The sequence below is a fragment of the Homo sapiens genome, chromosome 17 (assembly GCF_000001405.40).
Source record: "Homo sapiens chromosome 17, GRCh38.p14 Primary Assembly".
Taxonomy (NCBI): domain Eukaryota; kingdom Metazoa; phylum Chordata; class Mammalia; order Primates; family Hominidae; genus Homo; species Homo sapiens.
In genome coordinates, this window is record NC_000017.11 from 79,863,299 (window position 1) to 79,885,784 (window position 22,486).

Genomic DNA, 22,486 nt, shown 5'->3' on the forward strand with positions numbered 1-22,486 from the left:
GGACAAGGGCTTGGCCTGGCCCGTGTCCAGGGGCTGAGAGCCTGCTGTTCGTTCAGTTGGGCTGAAGTGGCCCAATTCCCCTTCTCCTCTCCCTGCCTGTTTGGAGTCCCAGGATGCCAACAGAGAGGTCTGAGCTGAGCATGCCGGGGAGGGTGGTCCATCACACTCTGTAAGGTGTGAATTTGCAGAGAGGTGCGTGGAGGCATGCTCACTCCATTGTCATCACCTCTGGGCAGTGGCGTCTGATGAGTTTTATTTTCTTCCTTTCTCTTTTGTGGTTTATTTTATTTTATTTATTGATTCGAGACAGAGTCTTGCCGTATCGTCCAGGCTGGAGTGCAGCGGTGTGATCTCGGCTCACTGCAAACTCCGCCTCCCAGGTTCAAGCGATTCTCGTGCCTCAGCCTCCCGACTAGCTGGATTACAGGCACGTGCCACCATGCCTGGCTAATGTTTGTATTTTTAGTAGAGATGAGGTTTTACCATGTTGGCCAGGCTGGTCTCGAGCGCCCGACCTCAGGTGATCTGCCCGCCTCGGCCTCCCAAAGTGCTGGAATTACAGGCATGAGCCACTGTGCCTGGCCTCTTTTGTGATTTTAAATTTAGTTTATTGTCAGGGTGCGGTGGCTCACACCTGTAATTCCAGCACTTTGGGAGGCCGAGGTGGGCGGATCAGTTGAGGTCAGGAGTTTGAGACCAGCCTGACCAATATGGTGAAACCCTGTCTCTACTAAAAATGCAAAAAAAAAAAAAAAAAAAAATTAGCCGGGCATGGTGGCGTGTGCCTGTAATCCCAGCTACTTGGGAGGCTGAGGCAGGAGAATCCCTTGAACCCAGGAGGCGGAGGTTGCAGTGAGCCGAGATTATGCCACCGCACTCCAGCCTAGGCAACAAGAGCGAAAACTTCATCTCAAAAAATAAAATAAAAAAAAATAAATTTAGTTTACAATCACCATGTACATTTTTTTTTTTCCAAAAATAATAAAGCCAGGAAGACCTCCTGCACAACGCCCCCATTGTTTGACTTGAGCTGGGGGTGGAGCTTCTCTGCCTTGCGCTAACTGTCACAAGTTCTATTAGAGGAATTTCTTCTTTGAGGATCCTGATGCAAGAGAGCTCAGAGGATGGTACAGCGGACACCAACCTGAATGCAACAGCCCCCCAAGCCCTTCCAGCTGAAACTGTCCCCTCTTTGAAAACCACAGGTGTCGGCCGGGCATGGTGGCTCACGCCTGTAATCCCAGCACTTTGGTAGGCTGAGGCAGGTGGATCACCTGAGGTCAGGAGTTCAAGACCATCCTGACCAACATGGTGAAACCCCGCCTCCACTAAAAATACAAAAATTAGCCAGGCATGGTGGTGGGTGCCTGTAATCCCAGCTACTCAGGAGGCTGTGCCAGGAGAATCGCTCGAACCTAGGAGGTGGAGGTTGCAGTGAGCCGAGATTGCGCCGTTGGACTCTAGCCTGGGCAACAGAGCAAGACTCGTCTCAAGAAAAAAAAAAGAGAGAGAAAACGATACGTGTCCTGGTGACGACTCCTGCACCTTCCCTGCTAGCCTGCCTTGCTCTGCCCTGCCTCCTCCCTCCTCCTGCTGTGGCCTCTGGAGCTCCTCTCTCCTGGCTCACCCAGGGACGTCACCCTTGCCTCTTCTCTCTGCGACTCCCAGGCAAAGGACTTTCCGCTCACAAGCAAACATGTGCTGGCAGGTCTCTTCCTGTGATCCCTCCACCCTCTATAGCTACTGCCCCGATCCCTCTGCTTCCTCCAGCTTCTCGTCAATTCGCCTGGGCGGCGGGGAGTCTGCGCTTTTGGGATGTGATTGGTGCTCCCCAGGCGATCCTCATTTACAGCTAGTGGGGACAGCCACCAAGTCACAGCCTTCCAGAAATTTCACCCATCCTATTGCCTTAACCAATGGCAAGCTGATAAATGTTTAATAGTCAGCTCTGGGGCATGGGGACAAATAGCCCTGATCTGTATCATTATGCAGTTCCTATGATGTGACTATTTCCACCATGGCCAATTTCAAGCTGCCAACAGGAAGAGTACTGGCTGTCAAAATTCCTGCAAATTTTACAACCCAGGACAATTCCATCTGTGGGTGGCATCTCCCTGGAGCCTGGGTCTACTCTCTGAGTTGGCTCACCTGTCCCTCTGGAACCTGGTTAGGCCATGGGTGAAAATCAGCTTCCATGCCCACTGCAGAGGGAAGGAAAGGATGCTTGCATTGAGTGACTGCTGGAGCAGCAGGGGCTTCCCCGCTTTACAGTTTTACAAAGCACTGCAATTATCTCATGTAAGACTCAAGTCTAAAGTGACGTGGCCAAGACCACACAGCAAGCAGGTTCTAGAGCCAGCCTCAGACCATCCCCACCGTGAGTCCCCCGTGCGAGTGCCCCTTGAAGGAGGTTTTCTAACAGGTGAGTGGTCTGATTCTGTCTCTGTCCTGTGGGATGGATGGGCTGGCACTTGATGGCTCTCCTTCCCCCTCACCCTCCACGGAGAAGGCTGGAAGGTGCATTTCTCAGACTTCCTTGCCTGGGAAATGGGAAGTGATGCAGAGGATCCCAACGTCTCCTCGGCAGGCTTGGTGGTGGACGTGCTGGGCCATGTTCCAGGGGCCAGCTGCTGGCTCCGTGGGTGCTGAGAGGAAGGGGGAAGGCTGTCTATTTTTTGGCCAGGATGAATCCAGCAGATGTGGTAGGTCCTGGCCGCTTGCTGACCCGTGGGTCTACCGGGTGCTCCGGAGCTAATGGTCCCCAGATGCTCCACCGTCCTGATGTGGCAGAGGCATGGCATTTTGGCGGGCCAGTTTGGTGGCATCCTGGGAACCGTTTTGGAGGCTCGAGGTGCAGCCTGCTTCTCCAGCTTTTCCAGTGATTTTTCTGAGCTTCTTATTTCATTTCTGCCACAAGGAGCCAAAGTGCCTTCTGTTTTCTGCACCTGAGCCCTCACTGATACGTCTTTTAACCTTGGTCACCTCCAGTCCTTTTGTCCTGTAACCTTCATTCAAGTCCCAGGCCTCCAGTTCCATGATGGGGTGTGTCGGGTTTTGTTTGTTTGTTTGTTTTGAGACAGAGTCTTGCTCTGTCACCCAGGCTGGAGTGCAGTGGCGTGATCTCGGCTCACTTCAAGCTCCGCCTCCCGGGTTCACGGCATTCTCCTGCCTCAGCCTCCCAAGTAGCTGGGACTACAGGCGCCCGCCACCACACCCGGCTAATTTTTCGTATTTTTAGTAGAGACGGGGTTTCACTGTGTTAGCCAGGATGGTCTCGATCTCCTGACCTCGTGATCCGCCCACCTCGGCCTCCCAAAGTGCTGGGATTACATGTGTGAGTCACCGTGCCTGGCTTAATTTGTGTATTTTTAGTGCAGACGGGGTTTCTCCATGTTGGTCAGGCTGGTCTCGAACTCCTGACTTCAGGTGACTCGTCCACTCCGGCCTCCCAAAGTGCTGGGATTACAGGAGTGAGCCCCTTCTCCCGGCCCCACACACAATCTTAAGAACCACACAGCCTTTTTGTTGGTTCACGGAGGATGAGAAGGGAGATGTAGAAGTGAGCATGACTGTTAGGGACAGGCATGCAGATAGCAGGGAGTAGCAACAGTTGACAGTGAGGAGGAAACTGAAAACTATAAAAACAAAACCAAGTGCAGGAACTCAAAAGCATAACCTGGGTGGGGCTGGGTCCGGAAGCACAGTGGGGGCCCCCGGCCTGTTCCCAAGATCCTGAAGTCACCACCACCTGGGCTCAGTCCTGAGGCACTATTGAAGCCAGTGCCTCAGATGCACCAGAGAAAGGATAACCCATGGGTGCAGCTAGGGAAGCTGCCCTCCTGGGGTCCTGCAAGGACAGGAGGCGAGGCCTGAGGCTTTCCTCGTTTCACTCGGCCACTCCTGAACAGTGCAACCACATTTTAACAAGACTCGCCATGTTAGTGATTGTTTTGATTTTTTTTTTTATTTTTTTATTTTTAGACAAGGTCTTGCTCTGTCACCCGGGTTGGAGTGCTGTGGCATGATCTCGGCTCACTGTAGCCTCCACCTCCCAGGCTCAAGTGATCCTCCCACTGAGCAGCTGTGACTACAGACACACGTCACTATGCCTGGCTAATTTTTGTATTTTTTTCCGTAGAGACAGGGTTTCACCATGTTGCCCAGGCTGCTTAAAGTCCTGAGCTCAAGTGATTCACCCACCTTGGCCTCCCAAAGTGCTGGGATTACAGGCGTGAGCCACTGCACCAGGCCCCTAGTGATTGGTTTTAAATATATTTTTTGTCATAAAGAAATACATATTTACTGGAAAATTCAAAAAGGAAGGGAGAGAGAGAGGGGAAGAAGGAAGAAAGGAAGGAAGGAAAAAAGAAAGAGGAAGAAAGAAAAAAGAGAAAGAAAGAAAGAAGAAAGAGAAAGAAAGAAAGAAGAAAGAAAGAAAGAAAGAAAGAAAGAAAGAAAGAAAGAAAGAAAGAAAGAAAAGAAAAGAAAAGAGAGAGAGAGAAAAAAGAAGGAAGAGAGAGAAAGGCCAATTGCCTATAATCTTATGACACAGAGACAGACACTGTTAAGCTTTGGGGATTTCCTTCCAATCTTTCTTCTGTCTCTATCTCAGGCTTGGTTGGTGTCTATATCCGGGTCGTTCTCTCTATGTGAATACATTAAATACATTAAATTTTAAAAACATTATCATTTGGCCACTCGCAGTGGCTCACACCTGTAATCCTAGTACTTTGGGAGGCCAAGGCAGATGGATCACTTGAGCTCAGGAGTTCGAGACCAGCCTGGGCAACATGGTGAAACCCTGTCTCTACTAAAAAATACAAAAAAATTAGCCATGCATGGTGGCATGTGTCTGTGGTCCCAGCTACTAGGAAGGCTGAGGTGAGAGAATCACTTGAGCCAGGGAGGCGGAGGTTGCAGTGAGCCAAGATGGTGCCACTGTACTCCAGCCTGGGTGACAGAGGGAGACTTCTTCTCAAAAACAAAACAAAAAACAAATAATGATATCCTGCTTTTCACTTAACTTTGTATTTTTATTTTTTGACTCCTCTCATCAGGTGATTTGAAAAAACAAAAGCCGTGGTGCAGTGGCTCGCACCTGTAATGTCAGCACTTTGGGAGGATGAGATGGGAGAATGACTTGAGCCTGGGAGTTTAAGACCAGCCTGGGCAACAAAGTGAGACCCCCATCTCTACAAAAAATAAAAAATATTAGCCGGATGTGGTGGCATGCACCTGTGGTCCCAGCTCCATGGGAGGCTGAGGCAGGAGGATCACTTGAGCCCAGGAGATTGAGAATGCAGTGAGCTGTGTTCATGCCATTGCACTGCAACCTGGGCAACAGAGTGAGACTGTCTCAAAAAAAAAAAAAAAAAAAAAGAAAAGAAAGAAAGAAAAGAAAAGAAAAAAGAGAAAAACCAAAACCCCAACTCAAACTCCAGCTGCTTGGCATCTTTCAGTGAAGATTTCTAGATTTTGCAAATAAAAATATAAAACACCCACGTAAATTTGAATTTCAGATAACACCCTCCCATGTAAATCTGGGACGGACTTATACTAAAAGACGATTTGCTGTGTGTCTGACATTCAAATGTAACCGGCCTGTGTTTTGCCTGGTGATGCTCCCCTCTGGTGCTGAGTGGCTTCAGATCCTGGGAGGCTGCTGGATCCGGGCGGCCGGCTCACACCTGGAGGGCTGAGTCCCGGCTCACACCTTTCCTTCCTCAGCCGTGGATAGGTATCCAGTGACTCCTGGCTTGAGCCCTGTGTCCCTCCTACCTGTCAGGCACCAGGCCTGGTGTTTTGTGGTCATTGTCCGTTTCACTCTCACGAGAGCTGCGACCCCATTTTGCAGAAAAGGAAGAGGAGCTTCAGGCTGAACAACTGTCCAGGATTTCTGAGCCAGGAAGAGGTTTGGGGTCCAGATCTGCCTCACTGGGGTCCCCTTTGCTTGGATGCAAGAGAATCAGAAGGACGCTAAGCCAGGACAGCAAGCGTAGCCCAAGAGGCTGTGACCACGCACCCTCCCCAGAGAGCCCCCTCCCTGGGATGCCCCCTCCCTAGAGGCCCTTCCCCAGGATAACAGGCCTGGGCCTCTGGACCCCACCGCAGCTGATGAAAAGCCCCTGACTGCCCTTGGGGTTCTGAGCTTTTGAATTGCTGGCAACGGTGTCTTCTGAGCCCTCAGGGCTTATTTAAAAGGAGTTAAAGTGCCCCAGTCCCTGGTGGGAGAGGTTAAGTAGCAGGGGTGGAGGATTAAGTGCTGGCTTGGGAATGGGGCGGGGCCTTTGGAAAGCTCTGGAATTGGTTGCTCAGTCTCCCAGCTCTCCTGCCTCTCCCAGACCACCCCACCCCCTGCCATCCTTTTCCCTCTGGTCCTCAGCAAGGTTTTTTTGTTTGTTTGTTTTTTGAGATGGAGTCTCACTCTGTCACCCAGGCTGGAGTGCAGTGGCGTGATCTCAGCTCACCACAACCTCTGCTTCCTGGGTTCAAGTGATTCTCCTGCCTCAGCCTCCGGAGTAGCTGGGATTACAGGTGTGCGCCAGGACACCTGTAATTTTTCTTTGTATTTTTAGTAGAGATGGGTTTTCACCACGTTGGCCAGGCTGGTCTGGAACTCCTGACCTCAAGTGATCTTCCTGCCTTGGCCTCCCAAAGTGCTGAGCTTACAGGCATGAGCCACCACGCCTGGCCTCAGCAAGGTTCTTAGACATAGATGTACCCACAGATCCCTGGCAGAGAGGTAGATACTGAGTGGGTCAGAAAGGTCCGGGACTTTGCATTCAAATAGGCACTTGGAGATTCCAAGGCAGAAAGCCTGCTCCTGACACTTCCCCTGAAGCGCTGGTTTCTGAGACCCCATCACGTGGCTCACCCTGGGAAAGGTGGCAGAGAGGTGACCCCTAGACCTCCTCCACCTGCCCTTCCTCCTCCCACTTCCCCTCCTTTTTCCCTCCCTCGCCCCCCTCCTTCAAGGAGGTGCCCGTCCCTTTTCTGAGGTTGGAGGTCTCGGGAGAAGCACTGACTGGGTGGGCCCCTCCCAAGGGCCTGGTGGCATCTGGAGGCCAAGCCTCCTCCTTCCCCAGCAACTCCTGAAGAGGCAGGTGGAGGGGTCAACTCCGTGAGCCCCTGCCCGTCCCACCCTCTCCCCTTGGGCACAGGCCTGGGGACCCCGGGGAGTCTCAACCTTGGGGGCCCAGGGCAGGAAGGGCCTTCATTAGCCTGGGAGACAGAGTAGCCACAAAGTTCAGCTCCAGCCAGGGGCCAACCTGGGACACAGGAGACTGGGCCCTGTCATCTGGGGCCACACATCTTGGACCGGCTGCAGCAGCCCGGGGTTTTTAATCCAGGGCCCTGAATTAAGCTGTGTTCCGCCGTGACGGGTTTGCTAAGTCCTCGGAGCCAGACCACGTTGGCTGCTCTGCTGGGAAAGGGGTTCTCGGGGTAAGTGAGGAGCAGGAGACCAGCCAAGCCAGCACCGCAGCGGCCCAGAGCCAGGCGTGAGAGGCCAGGACGGGAGGGCTCTGGGGGCAGCACCGTTGCTTTGGGCCTGAGCAGTGGGTGGGAGGTGGATTCAGGCTGAGCTGGGGAGGCCGGGAAGGGCTCAGACCCAAGGCGCTACAGGAGGGAAGAGAATGTGCCCATCTGCCACGTTGGACAGAGTAGAGGCCCCACTGCAGCAAGAGGGATCTGGGTAGGATCTGGAGGAGGCCTTGCTTCCTGGACTGCATGTTTCTAGAAGTCTCCTTGCAGACTGATGGGGTTGAAGGTGTGTTCAGAAGCAGCTCCCCTTTGTCCCACTCAGGCTGAAGAAGGAGGGACATGCAGGCTCAGACAAGTGCAGCTTACGATGGCAGCCTGGGTCTGGAGACACGCCTGCTTGGAGGACGCGCGGGGTCTTCGGGAAGGGGCTTGGTGGGTAGCTCACTCCTGAAGGAGTCAGGCTTCCCGCAAGCTGGTGAGCTGGGCCGCCGCAGCCTCCGCCCCTCGGGCCTGGTGCAGGCCTTGCCTCGGTTCCATTCTCTGCTGTTGCTGTCCTGACGCCCTCCGCACATTTTGAACAAGGGGCCCCACACTCTCATTTTGCACTAGGCTCCGCAGATTCTGCCTGCTGGGCCAGCCCGGGGGAGGCACCTGTTTCACATACTTGCAGAAGCCGTGTGCACTGTGCAGGTGCCTCATCTCGCAGAGGGAGGGGCTGAGTCAGGGGGCTCCTTCCTCCAAGCTCACCAGTCCCACCACCAGCTGGAGTGGGGCCTAACGTGTACCCAGGGAAGGCCGCCCACTGGAAGGAAAGAGGGGTTGGGGCATGGACAGTCCCCACACCAACCGAGCCTGAAGCCATTGGGGAGGAGGCAGAGAGAGCCCAGGGGGACCAGGAGCCCGGAGGAGGAGTGGGGTTCAAGGCGGAACCCCACCGGCCTCGGTGATCCCCGCTTTTCACCTTGTGAGCCCCTTTCACACCCTGGCCTTCCTTTACTGCATTTTCTCCCATTTCACAGGGGGGAGAAACAGACGCTCGGAGGGTTACGGTTGGGAACCCCCCAAAATGGGTATGTGGCTGGCTGGCTTAACACCTGGTGTCTGGTTCGAATAGAAACACCAGGATGCTGCTTGCAGGGAGCCGTTCTTGAACAGGCCTGGGTGGAATCTCAGATTCATATTTCTAAAACCTCCTCAGATTTGGGGACTTCTATGTGAAGTCTTTGCCGAAGTCCACACCCTGGAAGATGCAGGGAGGATGAAAACGTGCCCATCTGCCTCTGGCTTTTGATTCCAGCCCCACCACAGCACAGCTGCCTTCGAAAACACAGGGCAGGAGCTTTCTGCAGCAGTGGCTGGTGGGACAGACAGATGGACGGACACACACACACAGGCAGCAGAACTGGAGGTGAGGGCAGTCAGGAGGCAGTTATGGTTTGGTTCGGTTTCTTTCTTTTCTTTTTTTAAACACCAGCTTGAAAGCTTGAACTAGATTTTATTTATTTATTTATTTGAGACAATCTTGCTGTGTCACTCAGGCTGTAGTGCAGTGGCATGATCACGGCTCACTGCAGGCTTGACCTCCCAGGCTCAAGCGATTCTCCCACCTCAGCCTCCCGAGTAGCTGGGACCACAGGCATATGCCACCATACCCAGCTAATCCCTCCCCTCCCCTCTCCTCCCTTCCCCTCCCCTCCTGTCCCCTCCCCTCTCGTCTCTTTGTCTCCCTCCCCTCCCCTGCTTTCCCCTCCCCTCCCTCCCCTCCCCTGCTTTCCCCTCCTTTCCCATCCCCTTCCCTCTCCTCTCTTCTCTCTTTTCGAGACTGGGTCTCACTTTGTTGCTTCGGCTGGTGTCAAACTCTTGGGCTCAAGCAATCTGCTCACCTTGGCCTCCCAAAGTGCTGAGTAGGTTTTGTTTATTTTTTAAATTAACATTTTAATGTTGAGATAATTGTTTATTTACATGTTGTTGTTGTAAGAAATAATACAGAAGGATCTATGTCCCCTACCCAGAGTCCCACCCATGGTGGTGTCTTGTAAGACTAGAGTACAATGTTACAACCAAGACGTGGATATTGATCCGGTGAACCCATCTTACTGACGTTTCCCTTCTGCTTGTACCCATTTGTGTGTATTTCCTTTCTGTGACCTGTGTAGCTTCCTGTATCCACCACCGCAGTCACAACGCTGAACGCTGCGGCACCCCAAGGACGCCCTGGATCACTCTTTTGCAACTGGACCGACCTCCTTCCTCTTCCTAATCTGCCTCCAAGTCTCCAAGTCTGTTATTTCAAGAATCTTATGTGAACGGAATCATACACCTTGTAACCTTCTGGGAGTGGCTTTTTCCCTCAAAATCATTCCCTGGAGATTCCTGCAAGGTCTTGTGTGGCCCAGTCCGGGGTTCCTTTTCCCGATCCGTGACGTGGAGGCACGACAGCATGTTTAGCATTCGCCCACTGAAGGTCAACCAGGTGTTTCTGGTTTTTGGCTATTATGCATAAGCTGCTATGAACACTTGTATGCAGCTTCTTTTATTTTTTATTTTTATTTTTTAGAGACAGGGTCTTGCTCTGTCGCCCAGGCTGGAGTGTAGTGGCACAATCACAGCTCACTGTAGCCTCAAACTCCCAGGCTCAAGTGATCCTCCCCACTCAGCCTTCTGAGTAGCTGGGACTACAAGTGTGCACCACCACGCCCTGCTAATTTTTAAAGTTTTTTTATAGAGACAGGGTCTTGCTATGTTGCCTGGGCTGATCGCAAACTCCTGACTGAGTAATCCTCCCGCCTCGGCCTCCCAGGGTGTTGGGACTATAGGCGTAATCTACCACGCCCAGCCTTGTGTATAGGTTTTGATGTGAACAAAAGCTTCCATTTCTCTGGGATAAATGGCCAAGAGCACAGTTGCTGGGTCTTATGGCAATTGTGTGTTTAGTTTTATAAGAAACTGCCAAATTGTTTTCCAGAGGGGCTGCACCATGTGACAGGACCAGTAGCAGTTTCTTTTTCTTGTTTTTTTCTTTTTTTTTTTTTTCGAGACGGAGTTTTGCTCTGTCGCCGAGGCTGGAGTGCAATGGCACGATCTTGGCTCACTGCAACTTGTACCTCCTCAGTTCAAGCAACACTCCTGCCTCAGCCTCCCGAGTAGCTGGGATTATAGACACCCGCCATCATGCCCAGCTAATTTTTGTAGAGATAGGGTTTCACCATGTTGGCCAGGCTGGTTCCGAACTCCTGACCTCAGGTGATCCACCCGCCTTGGCCTCCCAGAGTGCTGGGATTACAGGCGTGAGCCACCACGCCTGGCCCCCGGTAGCATTTTCTGAGTGATCCTATTTCTGTGCATCCCCACCAGCATTTGGCGTTGCCACTATTTTTAATTTCTGATAGGTGTTGATGGTATCTCACTGTGGTTCTAATTTGCATTCCCCCCATGGCTCATGGTGTTGGACAGCTTTTCATGTGCTCACTTGCCATCTGTATATTCTCTTTGGTGAAATGTCACCATTGAATTTGAAGCGAGTTTCTTGTAAACAGTGTATGGTTAGGTTGTTTTTCAAAAAATAGACTGCCAATCTCTTGCTTTTTACTTGGTGTATTTCATTTACCTTTAAAGAAAATTATCAATATGTTAGGACTTAGGTCTGCCATTTAAGGATTTGTTTTCTCTGTGTATGTTTTCTTGCTTTTCTGTGGATTCCTTGAACATTAGGATTGAGGTTCATCTTGGTTGATTTATAGTCATCTAGAGGGCGTTTCTTTGTATCACTTCCCTAGTGGTCGCTCTGGTTATTACAAGGTACACGGGTAGCATTTTACCACCTGCAGTGAATGTGGAAGCCTTACTTCCATGTAGGTTCTTTAACCTGTCCCCCTTTTATTTTCATTTTATGTTATTTTTGAGACAGGGTCTCACTTTGTTGCCCAGGCTGGAGTGCAGTGGCACAATCACGGCTCACCGCAGCCTCAACCTCCTGTTCTTAAGTGATCTTCCTGCCTCAGCTGCCTGAGTAACCAGGACTACAGGCACATGTCACCACACCTGGCCTATTGATTGATTGATTGATTGTAGAGATGGGGTCTCACTATGTTGCCTGGGCTGGTCTTTAACACCTGGGCTCAAAGGATTCTCATGCTTCAGCCTCCCAAAGTGCTGGGATTACAGGCGTGGGCCACTGCACCCCCCACCACACCTTTTTAAATATCATTGTCTTGAATATCAGACAGTGTTAGAATTTTTGCTTCAATCATTAAATTTGATTTATAAAGCTCATGAGAAGGATCATCTATTGCAGATTCCCATACACTTGTTCTTTCCATTATTTTTTCCTTCTTAATGCTCCAAGATTCCATTTTATTTTATTTTATTTTATTTATTATTATTTGAAATAGAGTCTCTCTCCGTCGCCCAGGCTGGAGTGCAGTGGCGTGATCTCGGCTCGCTGCAGCCTCCGCCTCCCGGGTTCCAGCACTTCTCCTGACTCAGCCTCCCGAGTAGCTGGCATTACAGGCATGTGCCACCATGCCCGGCTAATTTTTGTATTTTTAGTAGAGACAGGGTTTCACCATGTTGGCCAGGCTGGTCTTGAACTCCTGACCTCAGGTGATCCAGCCACCTCAGCATCCCAAAGTGCTAGGATTACAGGCATGAGCCACCACGCCCAGCCCATTTTATTTTAAAAATCATTTTCTTTCTTTGTGAAAAAACTTCCTTTAGCTGTTCTTTAAGGGCAGGTCTGCTAGCAACAAATTCGTTCAGAAAAAAAATAGATTTTCTATTTTTTCATTTGTTTCAAGAGAACTTGTAATTGCCACTGAAATATTTTTAAGCCGCTTTAAAATCTCAGAATGTCTTTATTTCCCCTTCATTCCTGAAGGATGGTTTTGCCAGACATGATTCGCTGTTGGCAATTCTTTGTTTGCAGCACTTGCAAACACTCACCTTCACCTGGTCTCCGTGGTTTCTGATGAGGAATCTATGGTTTGAGTGGGTGTTCCCCTACAGGGAATGTATCATTTTGTTCTGGCAGCTTTCAACATATTTTTTTTCTTTAGTTTTCAGAAGTTTAATTATCAGGTGTCTCAGCATGGATTTCTTTGGGTAACTATCTGGGACTTGCTCAGCTTCTTGAATGTGTAGATTTGTCATTTGGCAAATTTCAGAAGTTTTAAGCCACTCGTTCTTTTAATACTCTTTCAGCCTCATTTTTTTTTTTTTTTTTTTTTTTTTTTTGAGTCAGATTCTCGCTCTGTCGCCCATGCTGGAGTGCAGTGGCGCCATCTCAGCTCACTGCAAGCTCTGCCTCCTGGTTTCAAGTGATTCTGCTGCCTTAGCGTCCGAGTAGCTGGGATTACAGGCACATGCCACCTCGCCTGGCTAATTTTTGTATTTTTAGTAGAGACGGGGTTTCATCATGTTGGCCAGGCTGGTTTAGAACTCCTGACCTCAGGTGATCCACCCGCCTCAGCCTCCCAAAGTGCTGGGATTACAGGCGTGAGCCACCACACCAGGCCTCAGCCTCTTTCTTTTTCTCCCCTATTTCTGGGTAACTCCAATAATATGTATGTTGGATCTTTTGTTCTATCGTTCCACAGATGCCTGAGGTACTGTTCTTTTTCTCCCCACACCAGTATACTTTCTGTTGTTCAGTTTGGGTAAATTCTATCCATCTGTTCTGAAGTTCGCTAATTCTGTCCTCTATGATCCCATTCTACCATGGAGACTGTTCATTTCTGTTATTGTATTTTTCAGTGCTGTAATTTATATCCTGTTCTTGCTGATAACTATTTGCTGAGATTTTCTATTTTTTCATGTTTCAAGATAACTTAGAATTGCTTGCTAAAGCATTTTTATGCTGCTCTGAAGTCCTGGCCAGATTTTTCCTACATCTGATTTATCCCGGTGTTGGCATTGGTTGGTTGTCTTTTCTCATTCAACCTGTGGCCTTTTCAGGCCTTGGTATGATGGGCGAGTTTTTTTTTTTATTGTGTCCTGGACATTTAAGCTGTTACATTAGGAGGCTCTGGGCTCTCGTCAAATCTTTTGGCCAGCGCGGTGGCTCACACTTGTAATCTGAGCACTTTGGGAGGCTGAGGCAGAAGGATTGCTTGAGCCCAGGAGTTCAAGACTAGTCTGAGCAACATAGTGAGACTCCCGTCTCTACAAAAAATTTAAAAAATTAGCCAGGCGTGGTGGCATATATCTGTAGTCCCAGCTACTCAGGAGGCTGAGCTGGGAGGATCACTTGAGCCTGGGAGGTCGAGGCTGTAGTGAGCTGTGATCGTGCCACTGCACTCCAGCTTGGGCCACAGAGTGAGACCCTGTCTCTAAAATAATAATAATAAATAAAATAAAATAAAATAAATCTTTTATTTTAGTAGGCAGCCACTCTGCTTAGGTTTAGCATGCCGGTCCTGCCCTACTGTTACTGGCTGTGGTTTCCATGACAACCTAATTAGCAGAACCTTTTTGGTGTTAGTTTGGTCGGCGTGGTTAATCTGGTGCCATCGGGGCTGCTACTGGTTCCTGCTGGTTCTTCTTAAGGTGGCAGAAGGAGTGTCTGTGGGTGCTTCTAGGTGGGTGAAGGGAGCCGCAGCCCACAGGGACAAAGAAGACAAAGGTTCCTCCTGCAGGTGACCCCTGCCCCTGGCATCTCTTGGTGGGGGAGGGGAGGTTTCTCTGGCCAAGTCTCAGTAGCGGGGTGATGGGGCCCCTGCTTGTTCCTTTGCTGGTGCCACTAGCTTACCACATGTTGTGGACGGGACTCCTGTTTAATCTGGGGACACAGAGGACCCTATCTGGCTTGTCTGTTTTTGCTGGGCCTGGGTTCCCTTCCTCCACGAGGTGGAGGGCCGTGGCGCTCTGCCTCACTGGGGCTCCTCCAGTCCGGGGGCTCTCACCTGTCGACTGTCTTCCATCCACCTCTGCGTTCTCCTTGGGTTGTCTCTTGTGTTATTTCCAGGGCTTATGGTTGTACTTTGAGAGGGGAGGAGCAGGAAGAAATGAGCCTAGATCATCTTGTCTGGAATGCAGGTTCTGTTTTATTTTTTAAGAGGGGCCATATGGAAGTAAGTTTGGAAGCCAGTGGGAAGGACCTGGTGGAAGGAAGGCTGAAGATGCAGCCAGAGAAGAGAAACTGAGGACATAATGCTCTCCCGGGGCCAGGGCTGGGCTCATTGCTCCATCACCAGCACCTCCTACAGTGCCTATGGGAGCTGCATACGTGGTTCCGGAGTGGAATTGACCCTGAGCTTGCGGGTAGAGGTTCCTCCTGTGAGGGCATAAGAGGGAAGGAGAGTGGGTTTGATGATGGTCCGGGGGGAGGAGGATGGGGAAGGTCTCCTGATGGCTGACACATCCTGATGCTGACAAAGCCATGAAAAGTGAGGGGTGCTGGGCCTGGGGAACTCTGTGAACACAGGGGTTAAATGACAGAGTGAATCCAGGCACAGAATGGTGCCCATACCCACCCCAACGTCATTGCCTGGGAGCTGACATCACCTGCACCTGCCAGGCTGACACCAGCGCTCCCCAGCCCCAGGGCCTCCTGTAATCAAGGCCTTAGGAGTGGAGCCTCAGAAGCAGGAGGAGAAATCAATTCTCTTCCACGCGCCAAAAGCTGCTCATTCAAAACACCCCAAAGACACATCAGGTGGGAGGCACCTGCACTGAGGCTCCTGGAAGCTACTGCAGCAGGACGTGGGAGCAAGGCCCGGCTCCATTTGTCCCCTGCTGGTACAGCCATTTCATGGGTGGGGAGGGTGGAGACCAGGTGTGCTGGCCAGGGATTCCAGGGCGTGGGGTGCAGGGTCCCCTGCGTTTCCTCATATGGATGTCAGAAGTGGAAGAGAACGTCATAGCAGGCCAAGTGGGGTCCAACCCTTTCCAAGGTCTGGATCAGCTGTGCTGTGCACCCACAGCCCTCTGCCTGCCCTCTGCTCCACACCTACCCCTCCAGGCCCTGATTTTCCCGCTGGACTGTGCCCGGGAACATGTCGTTCTCTCTATTGTATGGGTGTGTGTGTGAGAGAAAGATGCACATATTTGGGTATATACATGATGTGTGAGGCATGTATATGTGTGTATCATGTTTAATTTTCTCAATATTCAAAAAGCCCACAAATTTGATAAGAAACAGATAAACAACTCAACAGAAAAATAGGCATAAATATAAACAAGTAATTCATAGAAAAGGAAATTCACATAGTCAATTGCACTTAAAATATATGCAAACCCTAGTAAAATATGACATTATTTAAAGATACAGATACGATGACCAACATTGGTTCTAGTGAGCAAACATGAAGCAATGTTTAGCCTCATCAAAAGGAAAATGCAAATTAAGGCCATGAAGTGATACATTGTTCGCCCTTTAGGTTGCTAAAATTTAATAAAAGCTCTAAGATTCACTGAGGCAAAAAACCTGGGGGAAATAGACATGGACATGCTTGGTGGAAATGTGAATGCAATTACTTCCTGGGAAAGTACTCTGGCAATATCTACTAAAATGAAAATAATACACATAAGCTTTGACCCAGTGATTCCACTCTGGGGAACCTCTTCTTTAGAAACAAAAACAACGGGGTATGAAAATAGATGTAAAAGAATTGCTTTTCCAGCTGGGTGCGGTGGCTCATGCCTGTAATTCCAGCATTTTGGGAGGCTGAGGCAGGTGGATCACCTGAGGTCAGGAGTTCGAGACCAGCTAGGCCAACATGGTGAAACCCTGTTTCTACTAAAAATACAAAATTAGCTGGGCATGGTGTCACACACCTGTAATCCCAGCTACTCAGGAGGCTGAGGCAGGAGAATCACTTGAGCCCAGGAGGCGGAGGTTACAGTGAGCTGATATGGCCCCACTGCACTCCAGCCTGGTCAACAGAGTGAGACTCCACCTCAAAAAAAAAAAAAAAAAAAAGAATGCTTTTTCGGCACTGTCTATGGTGGTGAAACCAAAGCAAAACAAAAAAAATAAAGAAATTGGAAGTAATTTGTGAATGCACATCTTTATAAGTATATAATTGTAGCATATTTAGGGCAGCCACAGTGGTTGACACCTGTAATCCCAGCACTTTGGGAGGCCAAGGCAGAATGATTACTTGAGCCCAGGAGTTCAAGACAAGCTTGGGCAACATAATGCGATCCCATCTCTATAAATAATTTTAAAAATTAGCCAGCCATTGGCCAGGCATGGTGGCTCATGTCTGTAATCCCAGCAGTTTGGGAGGGCAAGGCAGGTGGATCACCTGAGGCCAGGAGTTCGAGACTAGCCTGGCCAACATGGTGAAACCCCTTCTCCACTAAAAATACAAAAATCAGCTGGTTGTGGTTTAGGATACAGGCCCGTGCCTGTAATCCTAGCTACTCGGGAGACTGAGGCAGGAGAATCGCTTGAACTAGGGAAGTGGAGGTTGAGCCAAGATTGTGCCACTGCACTCCAGCCTGGGTGATAGAGCAAGACTTTTTCTAAAAAAAGAAACCAAAAACATTAGCCAGGCATGGTGGCATATGCCTGTGATCCCAGCTACTAGGGAGGCTAAGGCAGGAGGATTGCCTGAGCCTGGTAGGTTGAGGATGCAGTGAGCTGTGATAGCACTGCTGCGCTCTAGCCTGGGCGACAGAGCAAAATGCTCTCAACTGCCCGCAGCCCCCGTTCCCCGACACACACAAATTGTAGCAAATTTACACATGGCAGCCTTGAAATGGAATGAGTTAAATCTAGGCCAATTACCATGAAAGGGGATGTCCATCAAATATTTGATAAAGAGGGGGGAATACCAAATAGACACTGTATGTTATGATCTCCATTTTTTAATATGAAGCAAGAAATAATCCTGCTACCCTCCACCAGTGGGGTATGAATAGGAGGAATCCATGGACCAGTCCCAAACTGGCTGCTGACCCTGAATGCCTTGGAGAAGTGAGATTGGAGGGAAGGTGGGAAAATGGTGAACTTTTCTTTGTTTATCTTTGCATGGTTTCACTTGCCAAAGCCGGGAGGTGTTACTTTTTTTTTTTTTTTTTTTTTTTTTTGAGATGGAGTCTCTCTCTCTCTGTCACCCAGGCTGGAGTGCAGTGGTGCGATCTTGGCTCACTGCAACCTACGCCTCCCAGGTTCAAGCGATTCTTCTGCCTCAGCTTACTGAGTAGCTGGGACTACAGGCATATGCCACCATGTCCAGCTAATTTTTGTATTTTTAGTAGAGACGGGGTTTCACCATGTTGGCCAGGATGGTCTCAATCTCTCGACCTTGTGATCCGCCTGCCTCAGCCTCCCAAAGTGCTGGGATTACAGGTGTGAGCCACCACGCCCGGCCAGTGAGCCACCACACCCAGCTGAGGTGTTACTTTTTAAAAATAGCTCTACTGATGTATAATTTTTTTTTTTTGAGATGGAGTCTCGAGCTCTGTTGCCCAGGCTGGAGTGCAGTGGCATGATCTAGACTCCCTGCAACCTCCGCCTCCCAGGTTCAAGCGATTCTTGTGCCTCAGCCTCACTAGTAGCTGAGATTACAGGCTAGTAGAGATGGGGTTTCACCATGTTGGCCAGGCTGGTCTCGAACTCCTGAACTCAGGTGATCTGCCTCGACCTCCCAAAGTGCTGGGATTACAGGTGTGAGCCACCACACCAGGCCATGATGTATAATTGAGATAACAAAAACTCACAAATTTAAAAGGTATACTTTGATAAGTTTTGACATGCATACACCCATAAAACTATTACCCCAATCAGATAGTAAACCCGTCCATCGCTCCCCACATTTCTTCTCCCTCCATCCCTCCCTGCTTCCCTGCTCCCCAGTCCTGACCTCTGGCAACCACACTCTGCTTCCCGTCAGCATAGATTCTTTACATTTTGCAGAGTTTTGTATAAATGGAATCAACAGTATGGACTCTTTTTCATCTGGCCTCTTTCACTTGGATAATTATACTGAGATTCATTCATGCTGTTGGCTTTATGAATAGATCATTTATTTTTATTGTACAGTAGTGTTCAATTGTATGCAAATAACACAGTTTGTTAATCCATTTACCTGTTGATAAGTTGTTTCCAGTCTTCAGCTATTACAAATAAAGCTGCTATGAATATTTGTGTACCAGTCTTTGTATGGACTTTCATTTCTTACATTCAGGCATTCATACATTTCATATCCTACATTTCATACGTTCATGAAATGTATACTTTCACTCAAATACCTAGGGATGAAATGGCTGGACCACACAATAGGTGTATCTTTGACTTTTTAAGAAACCAGCAACCTTTTCCAAATTCATTGTACCATTTTGCATTCCCAGCAGCAGTACATGAGAATTCTATTTCGGCCACGCCCTCGCCAAACATTTGATTTCATCAATCTTTTTACTTTAGACATCTTAATTGGTGGGTAGTGGTATCATGTTGTGGTTTTAATCTGCATCTCTCTAACAACTAATGATTTTCAACATCTTTTTATCTTCTTATTCGCCATATGTATATGTATATATACATATATATATATATGACTTCTTTGATGAAGTATCTATTCAAATGTTATGCCTACTTTTTTCTTTTTTTAAGCAGGTGGGGGGTTGTTTTCTTATGATTGAGTTATGAGAGTTCTTTTTATATTCTTTATATATGTCCTTCATCGGATGAATTATTTACAAATATTTTCTCCTAGTTTGTGTCTTTCCATTCTCTTCTTTCGAAGAGCAGAAGTTTTAACTTTTTCTTTTTAAAACTAAAATAGCTTTATTGGGATATACGTCATATACTACACAATTCACCCATTTACATGTACAACTCAAAGATTTTCAATATCCAGGTGACCCTTGAACAATATTCATTTTAACAACATGGGCCACTTATACACAGATTTCCTTCCACCTCTGCTCCCCGTGAGACAGAAAGATCAACCCCTCCTCCTCCTCCTCCTCAATGGGAAGACCATGAGGATGAAGGCCTTTAGGATGATCCACTTCCACTTAATGAACAGTAAATATGCTTTCTTTTCCTTATGATTTTCTTAATAACATTTTCTTTCCTCTAGCTTATAGTAAGAATCCAGTATATAATACATATAACATGCAAAATATGTGTGAATCAACTGTTTATCTGTAAGGCTTTTGAACAACAGTAAGCTCTTAGTAGTTAAGTTTTGGGGGAGTCAAAAGTTATACGTGGATTTTTGACTGCAGGGAGTCAGTGCCTCTAACCCCCGTGTTGTTCAAGGGTCAACTTGTATTAACAGATATGTGCAAACATCACCACTGTCAACATTAGAACATCTTCATCACCCCCACAAATCATCTTATATGCATTAGCAGTCCTGCCCCATTTTCTCCTACCCCCACCCCCACCCCCAGCCCTAGGCAACCTCTAATGAATATTTTTAATTTTGATAACTCCATGTATTAGGCTGTCTTGCATTGCTATAAAGAAGAGGTTGGGTAATTTATAAAGAGGTTTAACTGGCTTACAGTTCTGAAGGCTGTACAAGCATGGTGCCAACATCGCTTGGATTCTGGGGAGGCCTCATGGCTGCCGGTGAAGTGGCAGCAGGTGTGTCCTGTGGCAAGATCAGGAGTGAGAGAGAGTGGGAGGGGGGTGGTACTCTCTTTTCAACAACCAGATCTCCCGAGAACTCTCACTATCAAACAGCGGCAAGGAGATGGCGCTAAACCATTCATGAGAAATCCATCCCCATGACCCAGTTAGCTCACACCAGGCCCCACGTCCAATACTGGGGATTACATTTCAACAGGAGATATGGCAGGGGCATGTGTTCAAACCATATCACCCCAAGTTATCAAGTTTTTCTTTTACGGATCTCACATTTGGTGTTGTTTCTAAGACATCTTTGCCAAACTCAAGGTCAGAACATTTCTCTCATATTTTTCCCCCAGAAGTTTTGTAGTTTTTGAATTTACATATTATAGGTCAATGATCCGTTTTGAATTAATTTTTGGGTGAGGTGCGTGGCATGGATTAAAGGTCTCTTTTTGCCCGTGAATATCCACATGCCCCATTGGATGAAGACGTCATCCTTTCTCCACTGAATTGCTCTTGGACCTTGATCTGATTGGGCTCTGTGTCCCCACCCAAATCTCATCTTGAATTGTACTCCCATAATTCCTATGTGTTGTGGGAGGGACCCGGTGGGAGATAATTGAATCATGGGGGTGGCTTCCACCATACTGTTCTCATGGTAGAGAATAAGTCTCACGAGATCTGATGGTTTTATCAGGGGTTTCCACTTCTGCGTCTTCCTCATTCTCTGTTTGCCTGCTGCCATCCATGTAAGACGGGACTCCTTCCTCCTTGCCTTTCGCCATGATTGTGAGGCTCCCCAAGCCACGTGGAACTGTAAGTCCAATTAAACCCCTTTGATTTGTAGATTGCCCAGTCTCAGGTATATCTTTATCAGCAGCATGAAAATGAACTCATACATACCATTATCAGAAAGAATCAGTTTTTCACGTATGTACAAATCTGTTCTGTTCCACCAGCCTATTTGGCCATCTTTGCACTAATACCCTACAGCCTTGAGTACTGAAGCCTTCTAGTAAGTCTTGATATTGGATAGTTTAGCTCTCCAACTATGTGCTTCTTTTTCAAAGTTATTTTGGCTAGTCTAGGTCTTTTTATACTTTTATATGAATTGTAGAATCAGCTTCTAAATTTCTACCAAAAGGAAAAAAATCCTGCTGGGGCTCATGCCTGTAATCTCAGCACTTTGGGAGGCTGAGGAGGGTGGATCACTTGAGCCCAGGAGTTCAAGACCAGCCCAGGCCAACATAGCAAAATCCCAGCTCTACCAAAAAAAAAAAAAAAAAAAAAAAAAAAAACAGTTAGCTGGGCTTGGTGGCACTTGCCTGTACTCCCAGCTACTCAGGAGGCTGAGGTAGGAGGATCACCTGAGTTTGGAAGGTTGTGGCTATAGTGAGCTGTGATCACATCACTGCACTCCAGCTTGGGTGACCCTGTTTTTTTAATTAAAAAAAAAAAAAGCCTGCTGGGATTTTTTGAATCAATAAGTAAATTTGGGGGGAGGTAATATCATAACAATATTGAATCTTCTAAGCTGTGAACAGGACACCTGTTTCCATTTATTTAGATCTTTAGTTTCTATAAGCAATGGTTTGTAGTTTCCCATGAACAAATCTTAGTTCCCTTGTGCCAGATCCATCCTTGAGTGTTTCATATTTTTGGTGCTATTATAAATGATATTTTTAAACATTTCAAATTTCTAATTGTTGCTGGTATCTAGAATACAATTTTTTTTATTATTTTTATTTTTATTTTTTTTTGAGATGGAGTCTTGCTCTGTCGCCCAGGCTGGAGTGCAGTGGTGCGACCTCGGCTCACTGCAAGCTCCTCCTCCCAGGTTCACACCATTCTCCTGCCTCAGCCTCCCAAGTAGCTGGGACTACAAGCGCCCGTCACCACGCCTGTCTAATTTTTTGTATTTTTAGTAGAGATGGGGTTTCACCGTGTTAGCCAGGATGGTCTCGATCTCCTGACCTCATGATTCGCCCGCCTCAGCCACCCAAAATGCTGGGATTACAGGTGTGAGCCACCGCGCCTGGCCTAGAATACAATTAATTTTTACATATGGATATTTGTTTATTTATTTGAGACAGAGTCTCTGTCTGTGCAGTGGCGCGATCTCGGCTCACTGCAGTCTTCACCTCCTGGGTTCAAACGATTCTCATGCCTCAGCCTCCTGAGTAGCTGGGATTACAGATACGCACCACCACGCCCGGCTAATTTTTGTGTTTTTAGTAGAGACAGGGTTTTGCCATGTTGGCCAGGCTGCTCTCGAACTCCTGACCTCAAGTGATCTGCCCACCTTGGCCTCCCAAAGTGCTGGGATTACAGGCATGAGCCACTGCACCCGGCCATATTGATATTTATCCTGAAAACTTGCTAAACCCACTTACTAGTTTCTAGCAGTTTCTTTGTAGGTTCTGTTTCATTTTCAACATAGATGATATTGTCCACAGAGAAGGACCATTTTACTTT

At 48.3% G+C, this 22,486-nt stretch overlaps 3 annotated features.

Moving 5' to 3' along the window:
- Positions 3,792–3,901: an enhancer, noted in NCBI's record as "active region_12924". NCBI's record gives its function as "activates an Ori minimal core promoter by ATAC-STARR-seq in GM12878 lymphoblastoid cells {active_cell/tissue: GM12878}" and the evidence as "EXISTENCE:reporter gene assay evidence [ECO:0000049][PMID:35858748]".
- Positions 5,896–6,423: an enhancer, noted in NCBI's record as "NANOG-H3K4me1 hESC enhancer chr17:77842993-77843520 (GRCh37/hg19 assembly coordinates)". NCBI's record gives its function as "activates a minimal SCP1, AML or CMV promoter by ChIP-STARR-seq in primed H9 embryonic stem cells {active_cell/tissue: H9 hESC(primed)}" and the evidence as "EXISTENCE:reporter gene assay evidence [ECO:0000049][PMID:30033119]".
- Positions 6,424–6,953: an enhancer, noted in NCBI's record as "NANOG-H3K4me1 hESC enhancer chr17:77843521-77844050 (GRCh37/hg19 assembly coordinates)". NCBI's record gives its function as "activates a minimal SCP1, AML or CMV promoter by ChIP-STARR-seq in primed H9 embryonic stem cells {active_cell/tissue: H9 hESC(primed)}" and the evidence as "EXISTENCE:reporter gene assay evidence [ECO:0000049][PMID:30033119]".